This window comes from Homo sapiens, chromosome 14 (genome assembly GCF_000001405.40).
Source record: "Homo sapiens chromosome 14, GRCh38.p14 Primary Assembly".
NCBI lineage: Eukaryota > Metazoa > Chordata > Mammalia > Primates > Hominidae > Homo > Homo sapiens.
Genome location: NC_000014.9, coordinates 74284923 through 74303655, shown reverse-complemented (window position 1 = coordinate 74303655; position 18733 = coordinate 74284923). Strand labels below are relative to the sequence as shown.

Genomic DNA, 18733 nt, shown 5'->3' with positions numbered 1-18733 from the left:
CATTTCCCACCTCCCTTTGGGTACTAATCAGTCAACTGATAAGCATTTCATTCATTCAACTATCTATCTTATCTATCGATCATTATCATCTATTTATTTGTTTTTGAGACAGGGTCTCTCTTTGTCGCCCAGGCTGGAGTGCAGTGGCACAGTCACGGCTCACTGCAGCCTTGACCTTCCGGGCCCAAGTGATTCTCCTGCCTCAGCCTCCAGAGTAGCTCGGACCACAGGCGCTCGCCACCATCCCCGGCTAATGCTTTTGTCTTTTGTAAAGGCGGGGTCTTGCCATGTTGCCCAGGCTGGTCTTGAATTCCTGGGCTCAAGCGATCCTCCCGCCTTGGCCTTCCAAAGTGCTGGGATTACAGGAGTAACCCACCGGGCCCGGCTGGAAGCCTAATTTATACTTTTTTAAAGATCATGCTGGCTTCTCTGGGAGAATATGTAAAACATCTATTATACACAGAATCTAAAATACTTGCCATAAAGTAGTTACACTCTCGGATACCTATTGTCAAAAGGGAAGTCTCCCAGAAAATATGGGGGCGCTGTAGCCGCCGGGTCAGCCGAGTCCACTCTCTGGTACTTTTAGAGACGTCGGTCGCTTCCGGGAGAGTCCGCGTCTCCCGCACCTTCCTCTCTATCAAACGCCGTCTCTGTGGTAGCCGGGGCCCCGCCCCTCCTCGGACTCTACCCAGTACTGAACTAGGGGCAGCTGGGCTCCAGAGTCCCTCGGGTCTCAGGTCATGGCGGTCGCGGGGCCCGCGCCCGGAGCTGGCGCCAGGTAAGCAGGGCGGTCGGGGAGGAGGTTTGGGAGCAGGAGTTCCGGGCTGTAGGGAATGGGCTTTCCTGCCCTCCGTGCCTCGTCCGCCGCCCTGGCGCCCCCGTCTCGCCCCCGTGACTTCTGAGAGAAAGAGGAGCTCTCGAAGGGGCGTCCGCCCTCCCGCCGCTCTAGGCCGCTCCGCACCGGCCGCGGCCCCCTCCGTTCTTGGCCGGACTTGTGCCATCTCCTGCGGTGTGGGACCCTCACCCTCGCAACTGGCATTCTTTTTTTGAAAAGAAGAACCTCAGGTGCACAAAATTGAGTTGATCCTTCTCAGTTCTTGACACCCTGTGGGCCAATGCAAGGCTCCTTGTTTATTTTATCACTTCCTCTCTTCGTTCCTATTCCCAGACCCCTTTCACTCCCCTTTTCAGACAGCCACTCTGGTGTGTTATATAAGTGGCTTTACGGTCCACCTTGGGTAAATTTGTGCAAGTGTTACTTTGAAATCTATATAGCGGTTTCGAATTCTTCAATATAATATGCTGTGATTTTTCTTTAAACCTTTTTCCTCAACATTGTGTTTTTGAGTCCATCCATGCTAGTCATCTTGTTTTCACTTCTGAGTGCTTGCATGAGGGGTGCTGTGTGCATAGACTTATTCCCCTAGTGGTGGATAGATTTTTTTCTAGTATTAACACCCCCACAAGCCACACTGTAACGAATATTCTGGCAGTTGTCTCCTTGTGCATATTGTTGCATTTCTCTGGGTATCCACCCCAGAGTTGGGTCCTGGTCATATCTAATTTTGCTGGATTGTTCTTTGGAATGGTCACACTAGTTTATACTTCCCGACGGGCAGTGCATAAAGCTTCCTGTTTCCCGGTATCCCTCCATCGTTCAGTGGCGGCTGGTTTTGTAATGTTTATCAGTCTGGGGGGTGTAAGGTGGTATCCCATCGTGTACATTTTCTTTCTTTCTTTCTTTCTTTCTTTTGAGACGGAGTTTTGCTCTTGTTGCTCGGGCAGGAATGCAGTGGCATGATCTCGGCTCACTGCAACCTCCGCCTCGGGTTCAAGCGATTCTTCTGCCTCAGCCTCCTGAGTAGCTGGGATTACAGACGCGCGCCACCACACCCAGCTAATTTTTTGTATTTTTAGCAAAGATGGGGGGGTTGGCCAGTCTGGTCTTGAACTCCTGACCTCAGGTGATCCACCCGCCTCGGCCTCCCGAAGTGCAGGGATTACACTTCCCGACGGGCAGTGCATAAAGGAATTACAGACGTGAGCCACTGCTCCCGGCCTACATTTTCATGTGTTTATTAAACGTGGGTTTTCCCTTTTTTGAATTGCCTGTTTATATCCCTTCCCACTTCTCTGTGGATTTCCTATGTTCCTGGCTTGCAGGAATTCTTGTAGGCTCTAGATTTAGATCCTGGCCATGCCCGGTGGCTCACACCTGTCATCCTATCACTTTGGGAGGCTGAGGTAGGTGGACCACTGGAGTCCAGGAGTTCAAGATCAGCCTGGGCAACATGGTGAAACCCCATCTCTACCAAAAATACAAAAATTAGCTGAGCGTGTTGACGCACGCCCGTACTCCCAGCCACTAAAAAGGCTGAGGTGGGACAGTCGCTTGAACCCGGGAGGCAGAGGTTGCCCTGAGCTGAGATCGCACCACTGCATTCCAGCCTGGGCAACAGAGCAAGACCTTGTCTCAAAAAAAAAAAAAAAAAGATTTTAGGCCAGGCGCGGTGGCTCACGCCTGTAATCCCAGCACTTTGGGAGGCCGAGGCAGGTGGATCACCGGAGGTCAGGAGTTCGAGACCAGCCTGACCAATATGATGAAACCCCGTCTCCTACTAAAAATACAAAAATTAGCCGGGCGTGGTGGCATGCACCTGTAATTGCAGCTTGTCAGGAGGCTGACACAGGAGAATCACTTGAACCAGGGAGGCGGAGGTTGCAGTGATCCGAGATTGCGCCGTTGCATTCCAGCCTGGGCAACGAGCAAAACTCCGTCTCAAAAAAATAAAGATTTCAAGTCCTTGTTGGTTTTGCACTCTGCAGATACCACCTCCAAGTCTTCTAACTTAATCTATGGCACTGTGTTGAATAAAAACATTTAACTCTAATGAAGTTAAATTCATCAGTTTTCCCCTGTATAGGTTTTTAAGGTATCTTCATTAAGACATTTTTCTACATTTCCTTCTATTAACATGATAGTGTTACTTTTCACGTTTAGATTTTTAATCCATTTGTAATTTTTTAAGTTTTTTGTTTTTGGTTTTTTTTTTTTTTTTGAGACGGAGTTTTGCTCTTGTTGCCCAGGCTCTTGTTGCAATGGCGCAATCTCAGCTCACTGCAACCTCTGCCTCCCAGGTCCAAGCAATTCTCCTGACTCAGCCTCCCGAGTAGCTGGGATTACAGGCATGAGCCACCACGCTTGGCCAAAGAATTTCCTTTGTATCCGTGGTCTGTTCCCAGCCTACCATCTTCAGCATTTGAAAACCATTCTTTCTGCATGGCCTGGACCCTCTACAGAACAATGTGGATGAGCTTAATAACTACTCCCTAAGGCTTAATTATTGTCTTGGGCTTTTCTCTGCCTCCCCACCTTCTCTTCAGGCCCAGGTTAGATCTGCAATTTCTCCAGCGGTTCCTGCAGATACTGAAGGTTTTGTTTCCTTCTTGGTCATCACAAAATGCCTTGATGTTCCTGACCCTTTTGTGCCTGACCCTACTGGGTGAGTGAGTGAGCCCAGACTAGAGGAGGGAGGGGAGCTCTGGTTTGGGGTCCCTTTCCATCTTTTTTTTTTTTTTTTTTTTTTTTGAGACAGAGTTTCTCTCTTGTTGCCCAGGCTGGAGTGCAGTGACATAATCTCAGCTCACTGCAACCTCTGCCTCCCTGGTTCAAGTGATTCTCCTGCCTTCGCCTCCTGAGTAGCTGGGATTACAAGCACCCACCACCACGCCCGACTAAACTTTGTATTTTTCAGTAAAGACAGGGTTTCACCATCTTGGCCAGGCTGATCTCGAACTCATGACCTCAGGTGATACACCCGCCTCAGCCTCCCAAAGTGCTGGGATTACAGGCGTGAGCCACCGCGCCCGGCCCCTTTTCATCTCTTTGGGGTGCTGATGAGGCAGGGACTCAGGAAGAAGCCTCCCTTCTTTTTAACCCCTCATCACTGATTTCTTACTCCTCTCCCTCCTTTCAGAGCAATTTGTGATCTACCAGGTTGGCTTGATCCCCAGTCAGTACTATGGGGTCCTGGGAAACAAAGACTTGGAAGGGTTTAAGACTCTGACATTCCTGGCTGTCATGCTCATTGTTCTGAACTCCACGGTAAGATCTTTCCCTCTCTCTGTGTCTCTCGTCCTCTCCAGTCCAGTGTGACCGTAATGCCTAGTGGAACTTAGCCTCCAGGAAGCAGGAAGCAAGCTGTGGGGGTGTGTTTCCTCCCTTTTCTGGGAACTAAAGGGATAGTTGCCTTTATTAAGCACGTTGATCTTGCTATTGGCCCACGTGGGACTGATTCCTCAGATGTTTCCACTCCTGGGCCCAGGCCACAGGTTCTGGTTTAATTCAGCATTTAGCAGAACTGATCATTGCCCCTTTCCTTCCTAGAACTCTTATTTCCGGCAGCTCATTAAAACGGCTCAGCAGCCAGAGCTGCTGCTCCTCCTCTGCGGGACCGAGGCTGTGACTCACCCTGGCACCATGTCACACCTCCCAGCCTTTGAACAGTGCTTTCTTGCAGAATGGCCTCCTCCCCTACCCCTCATTCAGTAGGGGGGCTACCACCTGCTCACTCTTCGTCATCCCTCCGTTGTCACCTCTTTCAAGTCTTTCTCAGCTTTCTCCTTTGTGTCTCCTCCACCAAACTCTGCCCTTTTTCTGTACTTAACGAATTCCTTGAGTTTACCTCGCTGTAACACTCCTCACACGCTTGTAATTGTTTTCTGGCTAAACTGTGAGCTCATAATGTCCCTAGTGCTTAGCACATAGGTGCCCTGGAAATGGTAAATGATGAGACTCAGGGCTGTACCAGAACTCAAGCCTAATGCTGTCTGCCAGGCTGTGCCACCTGTTTTCTTGGGGAAGCCACTGCTCATCGTACCATGGCCACTTTTGTTGGGTCTTCGGTCAGTAAGCACCTATGCATACAAATCTCTGTCCCAAGCTTGGGGGACAAAGGAGTAAGAACATAAATGGAATCGACAATATGGTCTCCAATCTTCAGAAGCTCATCTACTCTCAAAATAAGACAGTGTAGAAAGAGGGTCTTGCCTCTGGTAAGCCCTTTAATATTTGGTGAAGGAGGCTGGGTACAGTGGCTCACGCCTGTAATCCCAGCACTTTGAGAGGCCGAGGCGGGCGGATCACCTGAGGTCGGGAGTTCCAGACCAGCCTGACCAAGATGGAGAAACCCCGTCTCTACTAAAAATACAAAATTAGCTGGGCGTGGTGGTGCATGCCTGTAATCCCAGCTACTCGGGAGGCTGAGGCAGGAGAATCGCTTGAAACTGGGAGGCGGAGGTTGTGGTGAGCCAAGATCGCGCCATTGCACTCCAGCCTGGGCAACAAGAGTAAAACTCCATCTCAGAGAAAAAAAATTTGGTGAAGGAATGAACACGTGAGTGAGTGAGGAAGGGAAAGTCCCATGACTCGATGATTTAAAAAAGAAAAGTGCTGAGTGGACGGAGTAATCAGAGTCAGAGTGGGCTGGGATGGGTCAGCGGAGGCTCTTGCGAGCCTTGAGCTTTGAGCTGAGATTTTCAGGAAGCCATCTCTCCCTTCCCCTTGCTTCCCCCACTGCACAGCTGAAGAGCTTTGATCAGTTCACCTGCAACCTGCTGTATGTGAGCTGGAGGAAGGACCTCACTGAGCACCTTCACCGCCTCTACTTCCGGGGCCGTGCGTACTACACCCTCAACGTGCTGCGGGATGACATCGATAACCCGTAGGCGCCCCAACTCAGTCCTTTCTACACTCTGTGTGGTCCTTTCCTTCTGGCCTAGCCCTGGAGACTGCTGGTGGCAGACACCAAGGAGATCATCTGCAGTCGTTTTCAAATGCTGCTGCCCAGAGTCATGGGGGAGGGTGCCCTGCAGAGGACTCCTGGAGAAGCTGCAGGGCTGTGAATAGGCAGCTAAAAAGAAGAAGCCTGCCAGGTGCAGTGGCATGCACCTGTAGTCCCAACAACTCAGGAGGCTGAGGCAGGAGGATCACTTGAGCCCAGGAGTAGTGCACCGTGAGCACACTTGGGAATAGCCACTGTACTCTAGCCTGGGCAACATAGCAGAAACCCCCATCTCTTAAAAAAAAGAAAAATGTTAGGAGCAGCTTTCTTTTGTCCTTTTCATACTTTATATCTTAGTCTTCCAGTAAGAAGACTAAGGGGTTTCTTTAGAGGGTTCTAAAGAAAATGTCCTTGCTAGAAAAACCAGCTCTTAGATTTTCATCAGTAAAAAAAATTACCACTATCCAGGACTCAGTCTAGGATTCACATCTCCATTCTATCACCACTCAGGTTATAACTCTTAAAGTCACCAAGCCCCAGGTTCCCCTTCTGTAAAATGAGGACAATAATAGTTCCTATCTCAAAGGGTGTAGTGAGGATGAAATATCATTCATGTAATGCACATGTACAGTGCTTGACACATAGCAAGTGTTTCAGTGTAAGTTAGCTATTGTTATTTTACAGATGAGGAAGCTGAAGCCCAGAGATTGCAAGTGACTTGCCCAAGGTCACGTCACTCATTGGGAATAGGAATCAGTATGGCCCTAGTGGTGAGATGAGACATAGGGGGTCTCCTTCACACCCATCCCCTCACTCACCACCTTCCTAGCAAGCACTTTGTTGGTTGGGGTACCTCTCAGCTCAAGCTTAGCTTTGGTGCAAAGATGCGTGGGAGGCTGCTGCTGCTGCCTAACTTCTAGGCCTCTTTCTGATGGCTATGGCTTCCATCCTGCCTCTGCCCCCTGAGTAGCTGGGACTACAGGTGTGCCTCACAGCCTGGAGCTTTCACAGCCAGATAACTAAAGGGGCCAGGCTAGGGCTTATATAAGAGAAATTTGGGAGGATTGAGATAAAGGGGATAGTCTTCTTGATCATCCAAAACAGCTCATCTACCTTCAAGTTTTTCTTTGGCTCTGCTCAGAGCTGGCTCAGGCCCCTGGGTACTGGACCTTTCAGTTCCCACTTTTTCAGGGGATTAACTAAGGCACCGTAAGATGCAACTCTCTAGAACCCTGTTTAAAGGCCCTGGGATTTAGTTGCCCCTAGGAAACCAGCCTTGTCTGGTTCCCTCTTCCCATAGGGTCAGTGTTCACAGCACTGTGAGGCAAGGTCAAGAGCAGAGGTGATGTGAAAGTTTCTTGTTCTCTCTACCTTTGGGCCCATCTCCCTGGGTCCAGCTACTCTGTGTCATTGGCTCCAGGGACCAGCGCATCAGCCAGGACGTGGAGCGATTCTGCCGGCAGCTCAGCAGCATGGCCAGCAAGCTCATCATCTCCCCGTTCACCCTCGTCTACTACACTTACCAGTGCTTCCAAAGGTGAAGCCTCCCTCCTCCCCAGCCTGGTGTTTCCCCAGAGGGCCCTCAGTCAGCTCTCCCAGGTCAAGGTCCAAGAGAAGCTTATTTCCCCTCTCTCCCACCGTACCTTACCACGTGCTCACCCATCCCACGTGCTCAGGCCCCTGCCCTTCCTTTGGCCCTGTGTTGCAGTGTCACAGATATCCTGGCTCTGAGAGCTCATACCAGATGCCCCCACATAGGAGCAGAGGGCCCATTGGGCCACTCAGATTGGACAGGGGCTACCTGAGAGGGAACAGGAGTCAGGGCTGAGGCATGTGGGGATAGGTGGCACCCCACACCCTCTCCCTTCTCTCCCTCTCTCTCTATTTCAGCACAGGCTGGCTCGGGCCTGTGAGCATCTTCGGGTATTTCATCCTGGGGACCGTGGTGAACAAAACTTTGATGGGCCCCATTGTGATGAAGCTGGTGCATCAGGAGAAGCTGGAGGGAGATTTTAGGTGTGTCTCCCTCACTTGAGGTTTCTGGGCTGGGGCATAATAGTTAAGGAAGGGGATCTGGAGTAAAACTGCCTAAGTTCAAATCCTAGCTGTGCCAGTTACTAGCTGTGTGATCTTGGAGAGGTCTTTAACCTCTCCAAGCTTCAATGTTCTTGTCTCTAAAGTGGAAATGGTACCGTTGCCTACTGAGAGGATTAGGAGGATTAATGAAATCATACCTGAGAAGGTCTGAGAACCGTGTCTGCCTGGCCATCACCATCGTCATTGTCATCTCTTGGCCTTCTCACTGCCCTGGCATAACCGCCCTGTCTTGGATCAGTTGGGTGTGGCAGCCAATGGATCCAGTGCCTGCCCTGTGCTTCTTGTCCCCCTCCTTTGGGCCAGGCCCTGGGAGGAGGAGATGCTGTGAGCAGGAATACCCCTGTCCTCTCTGCAGAAAGCTGAGGGGCAGCCCTGTCTCTGCAGAGCTCCTGCCACACCACCTAGCCCTGGGGTTTTCTACCCCATAACAGTCCAGGAAAGGGTCAGACTGAGGCAGCCACGGTTTTGAGGCAGAGCCGGGCTCCGCTTGGGCGGTCTTTGTGATCCAGGACTCCAACAAGAGTGAGGCCAGTACTCCCTGTTGTCAGCACACATTTCCCTTTGGTCCGCCCAGGTTCAAGCACATGCAGATTCGGGTGAATGCGGAGCCTGCTGCTTTCTACAGGTGAGTCTGGAGAGATGGTTCCCCTTCTGCCTTGCCAGAGCTGAGAGTGGAGAAGGAAAGATGAATCCTCAACCCTCCCACCACCACCGAGCTCAGGGGCTGAGTGTTGTCACACTTGGCTGTGACCCTCTCCCTCTACCTCCCCCTGCCCTTGCCTGCCTCATCCTTAGGTCCAGGGGTTTGCTTCTGAAGCTGGTGGTTCCTTACTGTGGCCAGCTTTAGTCTTAGTGGCCTAGCGTGGGGCCTGAAATTGTCAAATGAATGAATGCCTCATCCTCTTGCTGGTGACTGTAAGACATCCGTCTGCCTCTGCTCTTCTGTCTGTTAAGAAGCTTTCTTGCCAGTGCCTGAGGTTCAAGCCTGATCCTTTGTCTCCGTAGCGTGGGATGGAATGGGAGCTTCTCAGAAAACCAGGAGACCTGCTCCCCACAATGCTGTCTAATGGAGCCAAGCGTCTGGTCTCCTGACGGCAGCAGCAGGAGCAGCAGCAGCGGCATGAAATCCCATCCCTTCCCTCCAGGGCCAGAACCGGTCCCTGTGCTCTGCCTTATGTGAGGCCTCTGAAATCAGCGTTAGGATTGATAGTGCAGGCAGAGGTTTGCGTTTAAGAAGTGGAAGCTACTCCTTGGCTCTGTACTTGGGGTGGATGTGATAGCCCTGGGACCTTTGCTCCTCAGTCTCTGCTGCAGTTTGCAACCTCCACCACTTGAGGGCACCAAGAATACTGGGAATCTGCGCTGGGGTGGGGTTGTGAGGTGGGCAGGGCTGGGTGTGTAAAAAAGTTGCTTTTGGAGGCCGGGCATGGTGGCTCATGCCTGTAATCCCAGCACTTTGGGAGGCCGAGGCGGGTGGATTGCCTGAGGTCAAGAGTTCGAGACCAGCCATGGCCAACATGGTGAAACCCTGTCTCTACTAAAAATACAAAAAATTAGCTGAGCATGGTGGCGGGCACCTGTAATCCCAGCTACTGGGGAGGCTGAGGCAGGAGAATCACTTGAATCCGGGAGGCAGAGGTTGCAGTAAGGCAAGATCCTGCCATTGCACTCCAGCCTGGGTGACAGAGCAAGACTCCGTCTCAAAAAAAAAAAAAGAAAAAAGTTGCTTTTGGATTCTGCAGCCTCTGCTCATGAAGCTCTGGGGAAGGCAGGTTAGTTTGTAGAGTTTCAGATGAGTTCTTCTGTGGCCTCTGTGCAAAATCTGAAATCTCCCTCCACCTTTTCTGCCTAGCGAATTTCTTCCCATCCTTGAAACCCCAGATCACCTCCTCTGGAGAGCCTTCCCAGACTCCCTTAATGGCTAAGCCTATCTGCTGCCATGGCCCTGAGGGCACACTTAGTACTCCTGATTCCAAGTGAAGAATGCAGTGTGCCTGCCTGCCCTCTGGACTGAGAGCTCCTCAAAGACAGAGATAATTTTCTCATTTCTTTATTGCACTAGCTAACTAGTGCAATGCCTGGTACACCTAGTGACCGCTCTGTGTATGTTTATTTAACAATAGTTTTTATTTATTGAGGGCTCCTTATGTGCTTGGCACTTTATATTTAGAAACTTTTAATTCTAACTCTAACCTATTACATAGGTATTATTGGCTCCATTTTATAGATTAAAAAAACTGAGGCTTGGAGGCTTAAGTAGCCTGCCTGTGTCACGCAGCTAGTAACTGGCCAGAGCCAGGATTTGAACTAGGTCTGCCCAACTCTAGAGTTTATGTTCTTCACACAGACAATACCATTAAGGCATGACTGAAGCCGTGAATGGGCGCTACCAGTAGACAGATCCTGAGACCAAGATCATTTGAATGGCCTTGGTTTCTAAAGGAGGGTGTGATATGGGACAGGCGGCCCCCCAACCTGGCTGAACCTCTCCAGCCCTGTGGACATCCCAGCCTTTCCTTGTCAGAGCTGGGCATGTGGAGCACATGAGGACAGACCGCAGGCTGCAGAGACTCCTTCAGACCCAGAGGGAGCTGATGTCCAAGGAGCTCTGGCTGTACAGTAGGCGAGGGGGCCCAGGGAAGTGGGAACCATGGGGTTGGACTGGTCTGCTTCCCTTCCCACACCTCTCTACCTCCTGTCTGCAAGGATAAATGTGCCATGATGAAGGAATTAACCGGGGATGAGGAGGGGGGGCTGTTGCCTTTCTGTGAGTATCCTCAGGAGAATGAGGATCCAGAGAGTCCACGTGGCCCTACTTGGCGTCCTGCTCCCTGTCTTAGGGTTGTGTCCGCTGTAGGGCATGTGGATGGTTCCTGGGTGTCTCACAGATGTGTTTTCTACAGTCGGCATCAACACCTTTGACTATCTGGGCAGCATCCTGAGTTACGTTGTCATCGCAATCCCCATTTTCAGCGGGGTCTATGGAGACCTGAGTCCCGCAGAGCTTAGCACCCTGGTCAGCAAGGTGAGACTCCCTCTTGGTCACCCCACATGCTGTCCCTCTCTGTCCTTGGCCCAGTGTCTGTGGGCTCGAGTCGAGACCTGCTTGACCTCTTCCCATCCTGTCCAGAATGCCTTTGTGTGCATCTACCTCATCAGCTGCTTCACCCAGCTCATCGACCTGTCCACGACGCTCTCAGATGTGGCTGGCTACACGCACAGGTGAGGCCGTGTCCCACCCCTCTGGCTCCTGAGCAAAGTGTGTGCTGCTGGCAGAAGTGGCTGAGTGAAAAAAGGAACAGAGACATACCATGTACTCGTGGGTGTGAGATAGGAAAAGGAGTTCACCTTCACCTGGCTCCCAGACCCTGCCTCAGATTTTCTTTTCTTGTTCAGAATTGGGCAGCTTCGGGAGACGCTTCTGGACATGTCCCTGAAGTCACAGGACTGCGAGATCCTGGGCGAGAGCGAGTGGGGCTTGGACACGTGAGTAGCGGGCTGGCAGAGCAGTAGTTGAGGCTGCAGGCTGTGGCATCACCTGGCTTGGGTTACCCTGGAGTCCTGCCCTTTCCCAGCTGGGCAGCAGAGTTGTAAGGAGTAAATGGAAATGGAATGCCAGGCACATGTAAGTTCACAGTCGATGTTGCTGTTCCGGCATCTGTTGTGTTAATTTACACCATTCCCCGGCCAGTGGAAGCAAAGTACACACACCTTCTGCCTGAGATAACAGGAATCTGCAGTGTCCTCCCCTTCCTGTGCTTCCTCCTCCCGCTGATTCCTCTCCCTGCCCCTTTCCTTGGGGCATGTCTGTCTTTGTTCCCCCACCTCACTCAGCCCCAGAGATGTCTGTATCCGTGTGTCTGCGTGGATCTGTAATATTTCTGTGCATTCAGGATTTGCTTGATCTCCACACTTTCCTTGGGCAGATTACCTAACTGTTCTGTTTCTTCATGTCTGAAAAGGAGGTCATAATGAACTTCCTTCACTTGTTGTAGGGATTAGATATCATCATCCATGGAAAGTGCTTGGACAGTGGCCACATCATAAGCTTTCAAAAATCAGTCTGAATTCCAGGGCCTACACTCAACTTGCTTTTCTTAGGAGCTAATACCTTAACTGTTGCTTCTGTTCCAAATGAAAGCTTCATGCAACCATGAGTGCAGAGGCTGGGCATGAAGGAGGGTCTGTAGGAAACTGGAATTGCTGTTCTGTGGGGAGCCAGGCATCCATGCAGAGGCAGAAACTCCAGAACCATTTAGCTTTAACCACTCCCATTCTTGTTATTAGTACTCTGGTCACACTGTGATGCCATGAAGACCCACCAGCATTAGAATTTGTTGAATACCGCTCTGCAACCTGGGCAGTTACTTAGCCACCTGATTCTTAGTGTCCTCATCTGTGATGATATTTGAGACTCATGGGCATTAGACTGAGTAAGATCAGTCCCATAAGGGGCTTTGTCCAGCCAGGCAGAGAGTAGAAGTTCCACCCCTACCCCTGTATTAATGTGCTCAGGCTGCCATGACAGAAAACCACAAACCGGCTGGCTTAAACAATAGAAATTAATTTCCTCACAATTCTGGATGCTTATGGTCCACGATCAAGTTGTCAGCAGGGTTGGTTTCTTAGGCCACTCCTTGGCTTGTAGATGGCCACCTTGTTGCTGTGTCCTCACGTGGCCTTTCCTTTATATGTGCGTGCCCCTGCCACCTCTATCTTAAGAGGACACCAGTCATATTGGATTAGGGTCCCACCCCAACAACTTCATGTTAACATCATCTCTTTAAAGACCCTGCCTCCAGCTGGGCACGGAAGCTCACGTCTATAATCCCACCACTTTGGGAGGCTGAGGTGGGCAGATCACCTGAGGTCACAAGTTCGAGACCAGACTGGCCAACATAGTGAAACCCTGTCTCTACTAAAAATATGGGCACGGTGGTGGGCACCTGTAATCCAGCTACTCAGGAGGCTGGGACAGGAAAATCGCTTGAACCCAGGAGGCGGAGGTTGCAGTGAGCTGAGATAGCTCCACTGCACTCAAGCCTGGGTGACAGCAAGACTTTCTCTCAAAAAAAAAAAAAAAAAAAAAGACCCTGCCTCCGAATGCAGTTACATTCTGAGTCACTAGGGGGCTGGACTTCAGCATGTGATTTTGGGAGGATGCAAGTCAGCCCATAATAATCCACAGGTGGTGGCTCCCGGGAGCAGTGCCTCCCCCACAGCAATACTGACCCTGCCCATCTTCCTCACGCCCCCTCTCTTCTCTGACACAGACCCCCAGGGTGGCCAGCGGCAGAGCCAGCAGACACAGCATTTCTCCTTGAGCGGGTCTCCATCTCTGCCCCCTCCTCTGACAAACCCCTAATCAAGGATCTGAGCCTAAAGATCTCCGAGGGACAGAGCCTGCTCATCACAGGCAACACGGGCACTGGCAAGACCTCCTTGCTCCGGGTTCTGGGTGGCCTCTGGACGAGTACACGGGGTGAGAGCCAGGCCCTCCCTGCCTCTGACCCAGCCTGGGCCCTAGGGGTGGGGTGAAGGCGGGGACGGTGTGGTAGAATCCATTCTTTTCTGTTGGGGAACAAGGAAGAGAGGAGACAGGCAGTTGCCTCTTCTGGGAGATCTCACAATGGAGGTTTCTGTGGGCTCTGCAGGCTCAGTGCAGATGCTGACGGACTTTGGGCCCCATGGGGTGCTATTCCTGCCACAAAAGCCATTCTTCACTGACGGGACCCTTCGGGAGCAGGTCAGTCTAGTTCAGGGGGCTCACTCCTCCCTCCTCAACCCCGCCCACCCACAGCTGGGACCTCTGGCACTGTGACAAGTCTCAGGTCCTAGAGTCAGGGCAAAAGGTGAGGTGGTGAAGTGGCCCGGGCCTGGGAACTGCTGGCTCTAAGAACCTTCTATTCACATCCATGGATTGGGCCCACTACTCATAGCAGCTCCTGAGGCAGGTAAATGGGGCAAGGACTCACGCCAAATACCACACGCGTATGTCAAACACCCAAGGTCGGATTCTGGGGCCCCTGCCCTCAGGAGGCTGTCAGACTGTTCCCCCTAAACACACTTCTGAAGGTTGTAGGGACCTTGCCCTGCTGTCTGCCGGCCAGAGCCTCTCCCATCTGACCCAGGCCAGGCGTTCCCACCTCTCCTCCTTGGGAGGTTCCAGTGGGTTCTGGAGGGAGGGTGGGCTGTGTGCAGCTCCGTCTTTTGCTCGCCCTCCTAGGTTGGTGTGGTTTTTTTCTTTTCTCAGGTGATATATCCCCTGAAGGAGGTCTACCCCGACTCAGGTGAGCTGGTCCTCCTTAGGTCATGTCCTCTCCTTCTGTCATGGTTGTCCCTGCTCTACCTGACTGTGGCCTCATCTGTGCCCTTGGGGAGAGGCTCCAGCCAGGCCGCTGATTCAAGGAAGAGGGGCTCCTCTCCTCTTCCTTTGACTGTTTTGGGGTCTGTACCCAGATCTCACCTCATTCTTTCTGTCCTTAAGGAGAGATGCCCACTGGGACAAGGAAAGTGATGCCTTCCTTCACCCACCCCTTCCCTTATGAAGATCTGCAACCTGTGGTTTCAAAGCCTTCGCCCAGCATTCTGAGGCCCCCACCCCTGCATCATCCATGATGTGCCCTGTCTATTCTTTTTTTTTTTTTTTTTTTTTTTTTTTGAGATGGAGTTTCACTCTGTCACCCAGACTGGAGTGCAGTGGTGTGATCTCGGCTCACTGCAACCTCCACCTCCCGGGTTCAAGCAATTCCCCTGCCTCAGCCTCTTCCGTAGCTGGGGCTACAGGTGCACGCCACCTTGCCTGCCTAATTTTTGTATATTTAGTAGAGACAGCGTTTCACCATGTTGGCCAGGGTGGTCTCCATCTCCTGACCTTGTGATCCACCTGCCTCGGCCTCCCAAAGTGTTGGGATTACAGGCGTGAGCCACTGTGCACAGCCTTGCCCTGTCTATTTTGACCAGCCAGGAGGCTCTGGCTTTTTGCAGAAGGCTTCTTTGTTGTGCAGGTTCTGCCGATGATGAGAGGATCTTGAGGTTCTTGGAATTGGCAGGCCTGGTAAGTGGGGAGAGGGACCCTCAGGACCCGAGCCCACCTGGGAGCACCAGCTACAGGTAGGCAGGTGCTGGCCCTGCTATGCTTGGGCCCAGGACTGGAAGTCTGAACCTGGGGTGGAGAATGGGAGTATCAGTTGACAGTGTGTGCTGTTGGCCAGGTTTAGGCACGAAGGGGGTAGTGCTCTCATTGGAGAATTTTAAAACAAGAATAGGATTGATGAAGGCGGTTTGCTTTTTACTGTCATCATGCTCCAGCAAGTCTAAACAGTGTCATTGGTAGAATATTCCTCTCTGCCTGGGGCAGACTGTCCCACAGTCCCCCGCCTTGGTATGCCACTGGGGCATATATTTGTCTTAGAGGTGTGTGTGTATGCTGGGGAGTGAGGGAGGTTCCCCATGATGGCAGGTAGCAGGGCTGGCCATTTCATGGACATCCTGCCCTCTGGGTCTGTTACAGTCCAACTTGGTGGCAAGGACAGAGGGCCTGGACCAGCAGGTGGACTGGAACTGGTAAGAAAAGAGCTTGGGTGCTCCAGAGATAGCCCCACCATAAAGACAGTGGGTTTCAGGGTCCCTGTCAAGGAATGGAACGGCTCCTGACCCCAAAGTCCAGATGTTTGGCTGGTCAGTCGGGTGCAAGTTTATGCCCTTGGGAACAGAGTTTTGCCTCACTCTGTGAGGGCTGTAGGCCTATGGTCGAAAGGGAAGGGGCTTCTGTCTCCTGGGGCTCACCTCTGTGCAGAGAAACCTCTTCCTACCCAGACCATTCTAGGTAAAAGCCAAGCTATATTCTTCCTCCTCTAGCAGTCCTCTCTCCTACCTTTCCTCAGGTATGATGTTCTGTCCCCGGGGGAGATGCAACGGCTCTCCTTTGCCCGACTCTTCTACCTGCAGCCGAAGTACGCAGGTGAGGTCTCGCCTTGTGGCTGCACATGCCATGCGCTGTCTGCACTCACGGGTGTAGCAGCATGTGTTCACAGGCACCCAGGCACACCTGTGAATGGCTGGGCTTCTCCGCATTCCCTGCTGGAGAGGACAGCAGGCCCTGCCCGTGTAAACAGTGCCTGGCATCGTCAGAGTTAACACTGAATATGCGGTACTGCCAGCTCATAAGCTTGCTTTTCTTCTGTTTTCTTTTTTCTTTTCTTTTTTTTTTTTTTTTTTTGAGACAGTCTCACTCTGTCACCCAGGCTGGGGTACAGGGGCACAGTCATGGCTCAGTGCAGCCTGGAACTCCCAGGCTTAAGTGATCCTCCCACCTCAGCCTCCTGAGTAGCTGGGACTACAAGCATGTGCCACCACACCCTGCTAATTTTTTTATTTTTATTTTTGTAGAGACAGGGTCATGCTATGTTGCCCAGGCTGGTCTGGAGTTCCTGGACTCAGGCCATCCTCCCACGTTGGCCTCCCAAAGTGCTGGGATTACAGGCATGAACCACTATGCCTAGCTCATAAGCTTTTTGCCTGGCAGCAGCTGGAGCCAGGAGCCAACATTGAAGGGTTATAATTTTATGCTCCTCTGGCTCCACCATCAAATGAATGGGCACCCATCCTCCTCTCCCACCAAGCTGTGCCTGGCAGGTGGATGGGTGTGGACTTTTCCAAAGACTGACATTCTTGCGGGGGACTGGGATTCCCTGGATTGAGTGGTCCCAGGGAGTGGCTGGTGCTTATCTATAGAAGCTGAGAGATTTCATGCAGCTGCTCACAGGCTATTCCCTTGGAGAGTCTGGCCCTCTGCTCCTCTGGCCCATCCTTCTCCCTGAGGCAGGGCTTCTGGAAGCCAGAGCAGCTTTCAGCCTCCCCTGGGTCCCAGCTGGGGTTGAGTATGGGTGGGAGGAGAAGCAGCGGCGGCAGAGGGCAGGGCTTTGATCTCTTCCTCTGTGCTCTGCCCCCTCAGTGCTTGATGAAGCCACCAGTGCCCTGACAGAGGAAGTGGAGAGCGAGCTCTATCGCATCGGCCAGCAGCTGGGGATGACGTTCATCAGTGTGGGACATCGGCAGAGCCTTGAGAAGGTACCCGTGCTCACAAGGATGGCCTGAGGAGGAGAAAGAACCCAAAGGCTCAGCCTGGCCAGGGCCAGAGGCCCCTCAAAACGGGGAGTAGCAGTAGCAGAGAGAACCGAGTGGCCTCCTCTGCCAGCGGCCAGGGCAGCCTGATCTCCATGTGGTGGTGGTCTCTTGTAGTTTCATTCCTTGGTTCTGAAACTCTGTGGAGGAGGAAGATGGGAGCTGATGAGAATCAAAGTGGAATGAAGCTCTGGCTTTTGGAAGGAGAGCCACACTGTGGCGGGTCGGCGGCCCTCAGGAGAGACCAGGAGGACTGACAGCGAAGATCGAGCTCAGGTTCGCCACATAGATCCCGTGCAGGAGCCACATGGGTCCTGTGCAGGACCCCTAGCAGTGGTGGGCTGAGCCCAGGTCTAGGTTTCTGTGGGGGACACTGAATCTCCCAGTGTTCAGTCTCCCAGGACTCTGCTGCCTCAGCCAGAGCCTCCATATGCTTGAAGTGCTGATTACCTACAAATGATTTCAGATCATGTTTGCTAAAGAGAAATCTGGAAGTGTGAGATCTGTAAGAAATGAAAGAAATGACTCTTGGAGTCAAGAGATCTGGAAATCTTTTAATCAGTTAAATTGTGCAGCAATAGATTTTTAACTTTAACTGACCATTTAAGTTTTTTAATAAGTTTTTTACAAAGAAAAGTTAAACATTAAAAAGAATTACAGCTTTCTGTCTTCTCTATCATGGAATGATCTTTTTTATTGAATCTCCAGATTTGTATTTGACAGCTTGGTGGGAAGGGAAGCACACTCTGCTGTTCTGGAATCTTATGCCCAGGGTTTTTCACTTCTCCCCACATCTCCCTTTCCACTTGCCAGTGTTGTGTAGTTAGAACCTGAACCACTAACTTCCAGGGGCCTTTGGTCTGCCCTACCTTAACCCAAATGAAAGTAAATCCCTTTCCCCTTAGCCAAAATAAGGTTGGGTTTTCTAAAAAAATAGTCTATATTAGGGAACAACAACAGCAAATTAGACAAAACCCAGAAAGCACAAAGCATGAGGTGGAGTTACTGTGCCCAAAGTCCTCACTCAGACCAGTGCCCCTCCAGTTCAGTTGTCTATGTATTACCTTCCTTACCTTCATAATTTTTGCCAGGCTTCTGTACTTCTAGTACTTGAGTTACTTAATATTTTTAAAAACAAACCTTTTAAGTTTAAATGGATTTTTAAGTGAAATTTTACACTTAACATAGATGGAAAGTAACTAAAAATAAATACAAGAAAAACCATCGGTGTTATTAACTTACGGCTAGATGCTGTTGCCTGCATAGACTCTGGGCCTGAGGCTTGTTCATTTTGTAAAAAAGAGAGGTGAGGAGTTAGACGGACTGGCACTCAACTGAGATTTTTCTCCTTAATAAAATCAGAAAGATGGAGTGAGAATTGTATTTTCTCACTGTAAAATATAAGATTATTTAACGCTTTCTTGGTACCACTTAAAAATGACTTACTCTATCCTTACTGACTTCTTCAGCTCCTAAGCCTTTTTCACAGACGCTGCTGCCGCTGCCAAGTTATTTTGTTTATTTTTATTTTTTATTATTTATTTTTGAGACAGTGTCTCACACCTCACTCTGTAGCCCAGGCTGTAATCTAGTGGCACAATCACAGCTTATTGCAGCCTTGACTTCCCGGGCTCAAGTGATCCTCCCACCACAGCCTCTCAAGTAGCTGGGACCACAGGCAGGAGCTCCTATGCCCAGCATCCAGATTATTTTGGAGACCAATT

General features: G+C 51.1%; 2 protein-coding genes across 41 annotated transcripts in view, besides 3 other annotated features; one reads left to right on the top strand and one right to left on the bottom strand.

Annotated features, from left to right (window-relative positions):
* The window catches only part of VRTN (vertebrae development associated), a 57016-nt gene extending 56353 nt beyond the window's left edge, over window positions 1-663 (bottom strand). Inside the window, exon 1 of the mRNA XM_011536911.3 lies at window positions 506-663. The gene's annotated coding sequence lies outside the window, so the exon portion shown is untranslated. The remainder of the gene's footprint in view (window positions 1-505) is intronic.
* Window positions 274-633: an enhancer, noted in NCBI's record as "active region_8726". NCBI's record gives its function as "activates an Ori minimal core promoter by ATAC-STARR-seq in GM12878 lymphoblastoid cells {active_cell/tissue: GM12878}" and the evidence as "EXISTENCE:reporter gene assay evidence [ECO:0000049][PMID:35858748]".
* On the top strand, window positions 722-18387 carry ABCD4 (ATP binding cassette subfamily D member 4). 40 transcript variants are annotated; one of them, NM_001353595.2, is made up of 19 exons: window positions 722-781; window positions 3388-3506; window positions 3981-4108; window positions 5587-5726; window positions 7207-7323; window positions 7682-7802; window positions 8458-8508; window positions 10408-10502; window positions 10787-10908; window positions 11014-11105; window positions 11280-11369; window positions 13157-13365; window positions 13538-13629; window positions 14137-14173; window positions 14891-14940; window positions 15397-15449; window positions 15770-15846; window positions 16840-16955; window positions 17127-18387. In NM_001353595.2, exons 4-19 carry the CDS (start codon window positions 5711-5713, stop codon window positions 17193-17195), a joined length of 1407 nt encoding a protein of 468 aa, NP_001340524.1. In that variant the 5' UTR covers window positions 722-781; window positions 3388-3506; window positions 3981-4108; window positions 5587-5710; the 3' UTR covers window positions 17196-18387. The 40 variants fall into 40 exon arrangements, 30 of the variants coding, with proteins under 30 accessions (NP_001340524.1, NP_005041.1, NP_001340522.1 ...); NM_005050.4 differs by having other exon boundaries at window positions 7677-7802; NR_003256.3 differs by lacking the exon at window positions 3981-4108 and having other exon boundaries at window positions 7677-7802.
* Window positions 894-973: a silencer, noted in NCBI's record as "silent region_5929". NCBI's record gives its function as "represses an Ori minimal core promoter by ATAC-STARR-seq in GM12878 lymphoblastoid cells {active_cell/tissue: GM12878}" and the evidence as "EXISTENCE:reporter gene assay evidence [ECO:0000049][PMID:35858748]".
* Window positions 11046-11898: an enhancer, noted in NCBI's record as "H3K27ac-H3K4me1 hESC enhancer chr14:74758461-74759313 (GRCh37/hg19 assembly coordinates)". NCBI's record gives its function as "activates a minimal SCP1, AML or CMV promoter by ChIP-STARR-seq in naive and primed H9 embryonic stem cells {active_cell/tissue: H9 hESC(naive and primed)}" and the evidence as "EXISTENCE:reporter gene assay evidence [ECO:0000049][PMID:30033119]".